The sequence below is a fragment of the Homo sapiens genome, chromosome 3 (assembly GCF_000001405.40).
Source record: "Homo sapiens chromosome 3, GRCh38.p14 Primary Assembly".
Classification (NCBI taxonomy): domain Eukaryota; kingdom Metazoa; phylum Chordata; class Mammalia; order Primates; family Hominidae; genus Homo; species Homo sapiens.
The window spans coordinates 32,093,696-32,106,347 of NC_000003.12; the positions used below are offsets into that span (position 1 = coordinate 32,093,696).

The 12,652-nt window shown below is 43.8% G+C and overlaps 1 annotated feature.

Annotated features, from left to right (window-relative positions):
• Positions 4,589-4,688: a silencer, noted in NCBI's record as "fragment chr3:32139776-32139875 (GRCh37/hg19 assembly coordinates)". NCBI's record gives its function as "represses an EF-1alpha promoter that drives an FKBP-Casp9 reporter gene in an ReSE screen in phorbol 12-myristate 13-acetate-treated (for megakaryocytic differentiation) K562 erythroleukemia cells {active_cell/tissue: K562(+PMA)}" and the evidence as "EXISTENCE:reporter gene assay evidence [ECO:0000049][PMID:32094911]".

The following is a 12,652-nucleotide window of genomic DNA, read 5'->3' on the forward strand; positions in this document are numbered from 1 at the left end:
GCTGAGGCAGGAGAATCGCCTGAACCCAGGAGTCAGAGGTTGCAGTGAGCTGAGATCGTGCCACTGCACTCCAGCCTGGGTGACAGAGGGAGACTCCCTCTCAAAAACAAAACACAGAAAACCAAGTTCAGGTGGATATTTGACTTTTAATCAAGCAAAAATTCTGAATAGATATGCCTTTCTCTGGTCAGTTACAGTGCTAAGTCTGGTAAATTCATCTTTAAAACTCCCAAGTTCTCCAAATGATCCAAGCTGGCTGACACCCCAGACATAATCTATAATAATACACAGTGCTGGGCTAAGAGCTGGCTTCTAAACCAAAAGTAGATTATGGTAGTGTGGTTTATAAAAGAAGCAACAAATTTTCACACTGTCCCAATTTAAGGAACTGGTGAAAACGTGCAGTTGCTGGATAAAACCTGGTACACAGACCTCTTGGATAATGTAATAAAGTTTGATGTGAACAGATTACAATTGACACCTGCTACTGCTAAGTGCCTGGGTCTCTATTTGGGTCTTTCAAGCAGCCAAATCTGCCTTTTATCCATTATGTCTCTATTCCCCAAGGAAGTGAGATAAAAGCCAATATAAGTTTCCAGAAGGAGGCATTGTTTTCTTCTGCCAAAAATCTGTAATTTATCACTGGACTGTCAATAACAATATTGAAGATGGGTAATTGCATTTGAAACCGCTATACCAAGAACAAATGTCACCACCAGAGATTGTATGGTGTGTAATGAGGAAGCAAAGTTGTGATATATGTGGGGTAAGGCAGAATAGATAAAATGTTTCTCTACGGTGGTCCAAGTGTATGTTTTACTTGGAATTAGAGAAATAAATGTAACCAATATCAGCCTGTGAAAAAGTTTTCAGTGTCACAGAGAAATAAGAAAAATAAAGACTTTGGGGGAGTGTTTTCCAAAAAGATAAGTTGTTTTCTTTTAAGTTTTCATTATATGCATCCTTTTCTTATGTTGACTGACATTTTTAATGCGAAATGACATCTAGTGAAAAAGCAAGTAACAGAACAATGTGCATAGCATACTAATTAAAAACAAGAGGAGCCAGGCGCAGTGGTTTACGCCTGTAATCCCAGCACTTTGAAAGGCTGAGGCCAGAGGATCTCTTGAGCCCAGGAGTTCAAGACCAGCCTGGGCAGCACAGTGAAACTTCATCTCTACCAAAAACTTTTTAAAATTGGCCAGGTATGGTGGCTCGCACCTGTAGTCTCAGCTAGTTGGAAGGATGAAGTGAGAGGATCAATTGCTTGAAGTTAGGAGGTCAAGGCTGCTGTGAGCCATGTTTGTGCCTCTGCACTCCAGCCAGGCAACAGAGCGAAACTCTGTCTCAAAAACAAAAAAAGAGAGAGGAAAAAAATGTATTTGTATATGCATGGAATATTCTTGGAAGGATACACAAAGAAATTGGGATTGAGAACAAGGGTTTCTTCAAAGGAGGGAATTGGGCATCTGCTGTAAAAGAAAGGGATTTCACTGTATACCTCTTTAAGACTTTTGGGTTTTGAGCCAAATGGATGCATTAATTATTCAAAATATAAGTTAATTAAAGTAAGATTAATAAGATGAATTAAAATAAAATAAGATGAAATAAAATGGTAATCGGATATGGTAATAGCTTATGTCCTTACTTGGAGAAAATGGACAAGTCTCTGTCAGACATCAAAAGAATTAAAAATATTTTAATCTGTAAAATCCTGAAGTCCTATTTTTAAAAATAAATATCTAACACACTGATATTAAGTAAATATCTTCTCATTTTAGTTAAAGAAGATGCATGTATCAGTTTGTCCCGTCACTGGCAATGACTTTGACCATGTGGTTAAGGTGGTGTCAGCCAGTTTACTCTACAGTAAAGTTACTGTTTTATCCTTTGTAAACAATTTGTGTGGACACTTTAATGCTAAATAAATATCCTGTCCCACATCAAACTTTCGTCACTATTGTTAGCATCCATTGATGATTGTCTAGAGCCATCATTCTTTCCATATTTATGGGTTGACATTTGACTTGTTTGTCTGCCTTGTTTGTTTACTTATTTCCCTTCTGCCTTGTTTGTTTACTTGTTTCTTTGAATCGGTATAGGCTCATGAACTTTTATTCAAAGAGTTTAAATTCATAACTATTATTATTAATTTTAATGCATGCATTGACTCAGATTTGCCTAGTGGGAAATCCTTTTTTTTTTTTTTTTTAATACTATGGACCACAAGACCCTGCTATTTAATCTGGGCTGACTGTGTCTCTGACTGAAATGCTCCTCTCTCTCATACTTACTTATTAATTATAGTTTTCTGTTCCTCAAACATGCAGGCTCTGCACTGCCTCGGGGCCTTTACACTAGCAGTCCCCCTCCCTGGAGTTGTCTTCTTCCCACCTTCCCATGGCAGGCTCCTTCCATGCGTTCAGATGTCTCCTTCTCAGAGAATTTTTCTGGGACCATCTTGTCTAATATAAGACTAATCCCTTGGCTGGGCGCATGGCTCACGCCTGTAATCCCAACACTTTGGGAGGCCGAGGTAGGCGGATCATAAGGTCAGGAGTTCGAGACCAGCCTGGCCAACATGGTGAAATGCCATCTCGACTAAAAATACAAAAATTAGCCTGGCATGGTGGCGGGTGCCTGTAATCCCAGCTACTCGGGAGGCTGAAGCAGGAGAATCACTTGAAACCAGAAGGCAGAGGTTGCAGTGAGCCAAGATCACGCCACTGCACTCCAGCCTGGACAACAAGAGCAAAACTCTGTCTCAATTAAAAAAAAAAAAAGACTAATTTATCTCTCACTCTTACTCCCAATCTCATTCTCAGTCTCTCTTTTGTATTTCATTTTATTTACCTTTTGAGACAGAGTCTTGCTCTGTCTGGAGTGCAGTGGCACAATCATAGCTCACTGCAACCTCAAACTGTTGGGTTCAAGGGATCCCCCTGCCTCAGCCTCCCGAGTAGCTGGAATCACAACTACTCAAGAGATCCTCCTACTGGGATTACAGGTATGAACCACTGCACCTGGCCTCTCCTGTATTTTAGATATCTCCCTCTCTGTTGGCTCCTCCCCAGGACTAGTTCAACATATTCTAGCCTCCTCCACATGATGTAAAACAAACAAGCACAAAAAAACTAAAATTATTTTGCTACTCTTTAGTTTTGCCTCTCCTTTTCCTCGTGTCCCTAGCTCTCATCTTCTCACAGCCAAACTTCTAGAAAACACTGTCTACTGCTGCAGTTTGAATGTCTGTGTCTTCTCCAAAATTCATGTTGAAACTTAATCCCCAATTTGATAGTATTAAGGGGTGGGGCCTTTAGGAGGTGATTAAGTCATGAGGGCTCTAATTGGGAATTATGACTTTATTTGTTTATTTGAGACAGGCTTGCTCTATTGCCCGGGCTGGAGTGCAGTGACACAATCACTGAAGCCTTAACCTCTTGGCCTCAAGGGAGCCTCCCACCTCAGCCTCCCAAGTAGCTGGGGATATAGGTGTGCACCGCCATGCCCAGCTATTTTAAAAATTTTTTTGTAGAGACAAGGTCTTGCCAAGTGGTCCAGGCTGGTTTCAAACTCCTGGGCTCAAGCAATCCTCCCATGATAGCCTCCCAAAGTGCTGGGATTATAGTCATGAACCACAGCACCTGGCCAGATTATGACTTCATAAAAGCGATACAGGGAATTAGGCCCTTTTTTTTTTCCCTCTGCTCTTCCATCATGTGAGGACAAGCAAGAAGGCCTTTACCAGACACTGAATGCCAGCACCTTGACCTGGGACTTTCCAGGTTCCAGAACTAAGACATAAATTTCTGGGCTGAGCTCGGTGGCTCATGCCTGTAATCCCAGCAGTTTGGGAGGCCAAGGCAGGCAGATCACTTAAGGCCAAGAGTTTGAGACCAGCCTGGCCAACATGGTGAAACCCTCTCTCTACTAAAAATACAAAAATAGCCAGGCATAATGGTACAAGCCTGCAATCCCAGCTACTCAGGAGGCTGAAACACGAGAACCACTTGAACCTGAGAGATGGAGGTTGCAGTGAGCCAAGATCCTGCCATTGCACTCCAGCCTGGGCGACAAAGGGAGACCCTGTCTCAAAAAAAAGCAAACAAACAAAAAAATTCTGTTCTTTATAAATTGCCTGGTTTCAGGTATTTTGTTACAGCAGCACAAACAGACTAAGATATCTGTACTTTCTCAAGCCTCACTTCCCTACCTTCCATTTATTTATACCTCCACCCACCACACAATGAGTTTATGCTCTGCCCCAAAACTGAAAGTGACTTACTCTGACCAGATACAGAAAAAAACAGGCCTGTGGCTAGCCCATATATTGCTTTCATATGGACTGGAAAAACATTTCCCTTTTTCAAGACGCTTGCTTCCATCTATCAGAAAATAGTCATCTTAGGTATACCAATCTGCAATGTCTGCAATGTGCATGGTGCCTGCTGGTGTTGTGCAGTGTGCTACCTGCACAACCATATGAGGACCCTACCAACATCCTCCAAGCCCGAAAGATACATTACACGGCCGGGCTCAGTGGCTCACGCTTGTAATCCCAGCACTTTGGGAGGCCGAGGCGGGCAGATCACGAGGTCAGGAGCCAGACCATAGTGAAACCCCGTCTACTGAAAATACAAAAAATTAGCTGGACGTGGTGGCGGGTGCCTGTAGTCCCAGCTACTTGGGAGGCTGAGGTAGGAGAATGGCGTGAACCCGGGAGGCGGAGCTTGCAGTGAGCAGAGATCGCGCCAATGCACTCCAGCCTGGGTGACAGAGCGAGACTCCGTCTCAAAAAAAAAAAAGAAAGAAAGAAAGATGCATTATACTTTAGTCCTATCCATTTTTTTTTTTTTATGACAGTCTTGCTGTGTTGCCCAGGCTGGTCTCAAACTCCTGGGATCAAGCGATCTGCCCATCTCAGCCTCCCCAAGTGCTGGGGTTACAAGCATAGAATAGCCACTGCACCCAGCCCTAGTTTTTATTTGACCACTTTCAACTCCCCTGTGACCATCCTTCCTTCTTGAAATGTTGCCTTCCTTTGGCAACTGTGATACCACACAATGTTCTCATTGTTTCTTTCTCATCCTCTCATGCTTCTCTTCTTTAATATTAAGTCCATTCCAGAGTCTATCCTGGTTTGTCTTCCCATCTCTCTGAGTGATCCCAATCACTTTCATTCAACATTTATTGAGTGCCCACTCTGTGCTAGGCATTGTTCTAGGCACTGACCACTTGCAACTTCTAAGTACATGCTGGTAAATGACAAATGTGTCTATCTCAGGCTCACATATCCAACTGCCTCCCTGAAATCTGAACTTCGATATCAAACGACCTTCCCCCAAACTTAACTTGTCTAGAACTGAGTTCATCATCCTTCTCTCTAGATCGGTTTCTCTTCCTGGGTTCCCCATTTTAGCAAATGATATTCATTCAGTTGCCCAAGACTGATAGCTGGAGTCATCCTAGACCCTTTTCTCTCTCCCACCTGAGAAAGTAGTAAGTCTCTTTTTTCTGCTTCCTAGATATGTCTGACTTTCAATCACCTGTCTCCATCACTGTTACCACCACACTGGTCTCCATCTCACTCTAAGCCATTATGATGGCTCTTATAGAATACAGCAGCAGGCTCCTTCCTGGCCTCAGCCTTCGGGACTTTTCCCTGTGAATTCATCCAGAGCATGCTTCCTATGACACAAGACTGATGATGTTAAGCTCCTGGTGAAACCCTATAATGGTTTTTTTGGCCTTCAGGATTTCAGTTCTAATTCTTCAATATGCTTTATAAGGCCAACCATAATCAGGTACCTCCTCTACCTCTCTGCTTTTATTTATTTCCATTCCCCCTTTCCCCTCATATTCTGTCACTCATTCATTCTTCCCTCCATCCATACTAAACTCCTCTTAGCTTCTGAATATCCCATTCTCTCTCTAGACTCTGAACTTTGGCCTGTGCTGTTCCCTCTGCATGGAGCAGCTCATTAGCTGCTCTCCCACCCCTTTACTTTGCCGATGCTACCTTCTCTTCAGGTTTCAGCAGAGATCTTACTTTATCTAGGAAGCCTTCCCTAAACTCCCAAATCTGGGACAAGGGTCTTTTTCTGAGCTGCCATAGTAAGCTGGTACCATTTATCACACTAGGGTGTTTCCCTGTTCATTGGTCTACATCTTCCTTTAAATATAAGCATCTAAGAGGTCAGGAACCTTGCCTCTCTTCTTTGTTTGTTTTTGAGACAGACTCTCACTCTGTTGTCCAGGCTGGAGTGCAATGGCACGATCTCAGCTGACTGCAACCTCCACCTCCTGGGGTCAAGTGATTCTCCTGCCTCAGCCTCCTGAATAGGTGGGACTACAGGCATGCACCACCACACCTGGCTAATTTTTTTTTTTTTTTTTTTTTAGAGATGGGGTCTTGCCCAGGCTGGTCTCGAACTCCTGAGCTCAAGTGATCCGCCCACCTCAGCCTCCCAAAGTACTGGGATTACAGGTGTGAGCCACCTCATCCAGCTTTTGTTTAATATTTAATTCTTGGGACCCAGCACAGTGACCAGCACATAGTAGGTGCTCAGTAAGTACATGTAGAATAAATGAACAGTTGATAAGTGCAGGATATGAATCCAAAAATTCTGGTCCTGACTCACCACTGGACCCTTGGAAAGTGTTTATTAGTGTTGCTGTACCTTAGTGTCCTCACTTGTAATACGAATATATAATATAGAGCATGGCAATGGCAATTTTAAAACATAATCCCCAAATTCTTTGACACTTCTTTTAACGAGAGGTAGAGCCTATGTCCCTTCCTTTAGAATTTGGGCTCTGTAATTTCTTGACCAAAAGATCACAACAAAAGTGATGTCATGGCCATTTCTGGACTCAAGTCTTAAGAAATCGGCAATTTCCATTTTGTTTTTCTTGGGATGCTTCCTTGCGGAACGCAGGCACTATGCCATGGAGAAGCAGCTCCAGAGAGGCCCACGTAGAGGACTCCAGCCTCCAGCCCTCAGCTTCTGCCAAGCTCCCAGGCAGCAACACCCACAATTTGGCAGCCATTTTGGCCTCCATCTTGCTCCATCCAAGCAAATCATCTTGGAAGTGGACCTTCCAGCCCCATTTGAACATCCACCCCCATGTAAGATTCCAGAGATAAAGAAATGTTGTTTAAGATCTACATTTTGGTATGGTTTGTTATGCAACAAGCAATAATCAGGACAGATTTTGATACCTGGAAGTGGAGTATTGATAATACCATAACACGCAGCACTGGCTTTGGGACTGGGCAGCAGATACAAGCCAGAAACGCCTCTGGGAGCATGTTAGTAATGGTGTAGGAGGCTGGGAGTGAGGACTTAAAAGTGAGGGAAATGTTATCTGGAGAGAGGAAAGGGGACTCCAGTTACATAGAAAAGTTTGGCAACACTGTTGCCGTGGCCTTCTGTAATGTGGAAAATAAAAAGTGTACTTCATGAACTCAGTGACCTTTCTAAGAAGATTTCTGGGCTGAGTTTCCAAAGTGCTGCCTGATTTTTACTTGGCTAGCTAGTGGCACCTCTTTCTACCACAATGCATGAACCAGTCATGTTGTTAAAGACATTGTCTCCATGCATGAAATTATAGACACCCTATGCCAAGCTTGTCCAACCCACAGCCTATGGACCGCATGCGGCCCAACACAAATTCGTAAACTTTCTTAAAGCATTATGAGATTCTTTTTGCAAGTTTTTGTTTGTTTGTTTTGTTTTTTAGTTTATCAGCTATCATTAGTGTTTTATGTGTGGCCCAAGACAGTTCTTCCAGTGTGGCCCAGGGAAGCCAAAAGATTGGACACCCCTGCCCTAAGCCTTCTCCAGGTCCCCGAAGAGTTGGCACTGTCACAATGACAATGGCTAACCTTTTGTCTTCCAGGCTACTCAACCCTTTTGGAGAAGGTGGCAACATCGTTGGCACTGTCATCTTAGACAAAAGAGAGTGGGACTGGCAGAAGATCAGCTATCTCAAAATTGGAAAGCAGGTCACTAGTTCCTATCCACTGTGATTCGTCTGGCATTCTTCAGTCCTCTGTACTGTGGCTTCTCCTTTCCCCCATGATTTTCATTAAACATCTACACAAAAATTATTTAATATGTGCAAAATGTATAAATAACTAATCCTGCCCTTCACCATATCCATGATCCTGCATTTTGTGTGTTTCCTTTCTTTGTTTTCCTCTATGGTTTCACTACATGTGAATCCCTAGTGATAGATTTATTTTTGCTTGTTTCTTAACTAACAGAAATGGGATCACACTGTATGTATTCTCCCGAAACTTGCTTTATTCTCTCAACATTAAGTTCATAAATTTCACCTATTTGTTTTTTGTCTTAATCTTTGTAACCAGTCTGTAAAACCAAATGACTATCCTCTCTGTTCTGGCACAATGTGCTGTGCATATCAGGTGACCAGTAAACACTGTAGGATGATGCTGGGCAGGATATGTCCACAGTGTTGGGAGAAAAGCTGAGTGTTGGGAGAGAACCTGAGGCAGGGCTTGGAACATGTCAGGGGTCCAGGGTCTAAAACCCCTCGTGGCCTTTGGAATGGGTCTAGACTTGCGGGCTCCTTGCTTTTAGCACTCCCATTATCTCAAGTAGCCATATGTTTCAAAGAAAATGCTAAACTCTCACAGCTATAGCTCATTCGCTTGATACGCCACTTCCTTCCAACCCCCACATCCTCACCACCTGTTTCTTTGTTTTATCACCAATAAATAGCGTGGGCTCCCAGAGCTCAGGGCCTTTGCAGCCTCCATACTAGCGTTGGCCCCCTGGTCCCACTTTCTCTCTTGTCTTTTCTCATTCCTTTGACTCTGCTGGACTTCGTAGCACCCACAGCTTAGTGTTGGGTCTGATCACCCCAACACACAGAATAGGTGGGTAGCTCACGTTCATGCAAATGTAGTTGTAATATTCAGGAATAAGAGTTTCCAGAGAAGGTACAAAACTTTTACGTGACCCCCAAAAAATTTAAAAAAAAGAAAAAAAAACAAAAAACTTTTAGGTGGCTAGGCGTGGTGGCTCTTGCCTATAATCCCAGCACTTTGAGAGGCCAAGGCAGGAAGATTGCCTGAGACCTGGAGTTCAAGATCAGCCTGAGCAACGTAGCAAGACCCTGTTTCTACCAAAAAAAAACCTTTTTTAAAATAAACTAAAAACTTTTAGGCAACTGCTAAAAATGAATCATTTGGTGTAAAGGGACCTTTACAAAATCATTTAAGAGCAGGGACCTCTCTTAAAGGCCTGTGGATCTCCCAAGCATGGAAATAACAGAAAATCTTGAGTTCCTTCAAGGGAAATTCCAGGCACCTTCCCAGCCTTTAGAAGTAAATGAGCAAATTAATAAGCAAGAAGGTAATAGTAGCTTAAAACAATAGCCAAGGCCGGGCACAGTGGCTCACGCCTGTAATCCCAGCACTCTGGGAGGCTGAGGCAGGCAGATCACTTGAGCTCAGGAGTTCGAGACCAGCCTGGGCAACATGGCAAAATCCCGTCTCTACAAAAAATACAAAAATTAGCATTGTGACATGTACCTGTAGTCCCAACTACTTGAGAGGCTGAGGGAGAGGATCACTTGAGCTGGGAGGCAGAGGTTGCAGTGAGCTGAGATTGTGCCACTGCACTCCAGCCTGGATGACAGAGCAAGACTCTACCTCAAAATAAAAAAAAAAAATCAAAAATAAAAAGCCAAGGAAGTTAGAGTCAGAAGATGGTCCCTATAGAAACTAATGATGCATCTTAACTATGTCCCTGAGTTGTTTTTTAAAAACCCAGACCCTCACGAAATGTATCCACTGGCATATAGACCTCAGATAAGGAGGAACTGAGGATTGAACTCTGACCACTGTTCTTCAACGTCTTTCAGAGGGGCCTGAAAGTCATGTCTGCAAATCAGAACTAACATTCTTTTTTTTTCTTTTATTTTTTCTTTTTGGAGACAGTGTATCACTCTGTTGCCCAGGCTGGAGTGCAGTGGCACAATCATGGCTCACTGCAACCTCCACCTTCCAGGCCCAAGCAATCCTCCCACCTCAGTCTCCCAAGTAGCTAGAACCACAGGTCTGTGCCAGCATGGTCAGCTAATTTTTAAATTATTTTTGTAGAGATGGGGTCTCCCTATACTGCCCAGGCTGAGAACTAACGTTCTTTTCTACTGACCCCAAATTTTTAGACAAAGCTTTGTCTAAAGTTCCTTAACCAATTGCAAAAAAGAAAATCTCTGATTCACCTATGACCTGTGGGTCCCCCTCCCCCACTTTGAGATGTCCTGCTTTTTTAGGTCAAACCAATGTGTAGCTCCATGTATTGATTTATGACTTTGCCTGTAACCTCTGCCCCACGCACCTTTATTTTACTTTTTATTTTTGAGACAGGGTCTTGCTCTTTCATTCAGGCTGGAGTGCAGTGGCACAATTACAGTTCACTGCAACCTCGACCTCCTAGGCTCAAGTAATCCCCTCATCTCAGCCTATTCCGACTAGCTGGGACACCCAGCTAATTTTAATTTTTTGTAGAGACACGGTATGTGTTATCCAGCCTGGTCTTGAACTCCTGAGCTCAAGCAATCTTCCCACCCCGGCCTCCCAAAGTGTTGAGATTACAGGTGTGAGCCACCGCGCCTGGCCCCCAGCTGCCTTTAAAAACCCTTACTTGCCAGCCATCAAGGAGGAGCTACCTGATTCTCCTTGCTTGGTACCCTACAGATAAACACCCTTCTTTCTCCCTCTGCAAACCTTGGTGTGGGTATTTGGCCTTACTGTGTCAGGTGAAGGGACCCTAGTTCAGTTAGATAACATAAATATTTGCAGTGTATGTGTACTACCCAAGGACATGACTTCATTATTCAATTTGACAAATGCGTTCTGTTACACAAATACAGAAAGGATTAATAAAGCTTTACTAGTCCATCTTTCCCATTATCCCTGCATGTATCCTTGCATTAGTGCAAATAATTGAGAACAAACCATTGGTGAGGGGATGGAAAGACTGCTCTGACTCACCAGCTCCCTTTAAGTATTTCCTTAAGTAAATATCATAAGTAACACAAATAAATATTTCATACAATGTAGAGAAAAAAGCAAAAATAACAGTTCTCTGAGCATCAAACTAATAGGCTTAGTATTACTATCATTTTTTTGAAACGGAGTGTCGCTCTTGTCGCCCAGGCAAGATCTCGGCTCACTGCAACCTCCGCCTCCCAGGTTCAAGAGATTCTCCTGTCTCAGCCTCCTGAGTAGCTGGGATTACAGGCATCTGCCACCATGCCTGGCTAATTTTTTGTATTTTCAGTAGAGACGGGGTTTTGCCAAGTTGGGCAGACTAGTCTCCATCTCCTGACCTCAGGTGAACTGCCTGCCTCGACCTCCTGAAGTGCTGGGGTTATAGGCGTGAGCCACGGCACCCGGCCTAGGCTTAGTTTTTTGTAGGTACTAGAGTATTTGTTTCTTTAGCCAGAATCCACTGATATTTTAGTCTTCTGGTTCTCAATCTTGGCTTGCTTTTGCAACTACCTCTTGAACTTTAAAAAATTCTGCTCCAGCCTGGGCAACAGAAGGAGACTGTCTCAAAAAATATATGTCAATAAGTAAATATCCTGATGCCTGGATCCCACCATGGGACATTCTGATGTAACTGGCCTGCAATGGTGTCTGGGCATGGGGATTTTTAAAAGCCCCAGTGACTAATATGCAGCAGAGTTTGAGAACCACTGGTTTAAAGGACTTTGTCCTACTCTGACAGCGTCTAGCACAGTGCCTGGCAGAGACTGATGCTCAGAATGAACAAACTAAGATTCTATTTGTCAAGGAGGAGAGCATTGTGTTACTCACAAATGCAAACAAACCACAAGCAAGGGATAAGTCAGGCCCTGGGCAAAGACAATGGTAAAGCAATTCCTGCCAAGTAAGCGTGTGAGGGTGACACCCACTGAATGCAAGCTGTTGTTACCTTTTTCCCTTTATTTTTATGTATTTATTTTTTGTTGAGACAGGGTCTCACTGTCCTTCAGTCTGGAGTGCAGTGGCCCTATCCTGGCTCACTGAAGCCTCGACCTCCTGGGCACATGCAATTCTCCCGCCTCAGCCTCCTGAGTAGCTAGGACTATAGGTGCGTGCCACCATGCTTGGCTAATTTTTTAAATTTTTGTACAGAGGGGTGGGGGGTCCTAATTATGTTGCTCAGGCTGGTCTCGAACTCCTGGGCTCAAGTGATCTTCCTGACTCGGCCTCCAAAAGTGCTGGGATTACAGGTGTGAGCCACTGCACCAGGTCAAGTTTCTATCTTGACTCTAACTAGAAAAGGTGTCATCCTTGAAATGCAGGTACTGTTCAGCCAAATTCCAAAGTCCTCTGAAGATCCAAGTTCTCTAAGAAGTTCAGAGGTGCCAGGCTGTGTCTTGTTTGTGCAAATGAAACAGAGGATGACAAGGTCGGGTGGGCATTTCGAGCTCTGCCCCAAGTCTGGTCGGCTTGAGAGTCAACCTAGGAGCCTCTCTCGGCTCCAAATGGCAATGTGGCAGCCCTTCCCGAGTAGGGAAAAAGGAGCGTGTAGGGGGCACCACGGCAAGCTGGTTGGGTCTGCTCCACCCATGAGGATGGAGTGCAGCCTCCACCGGGAACCAGGGG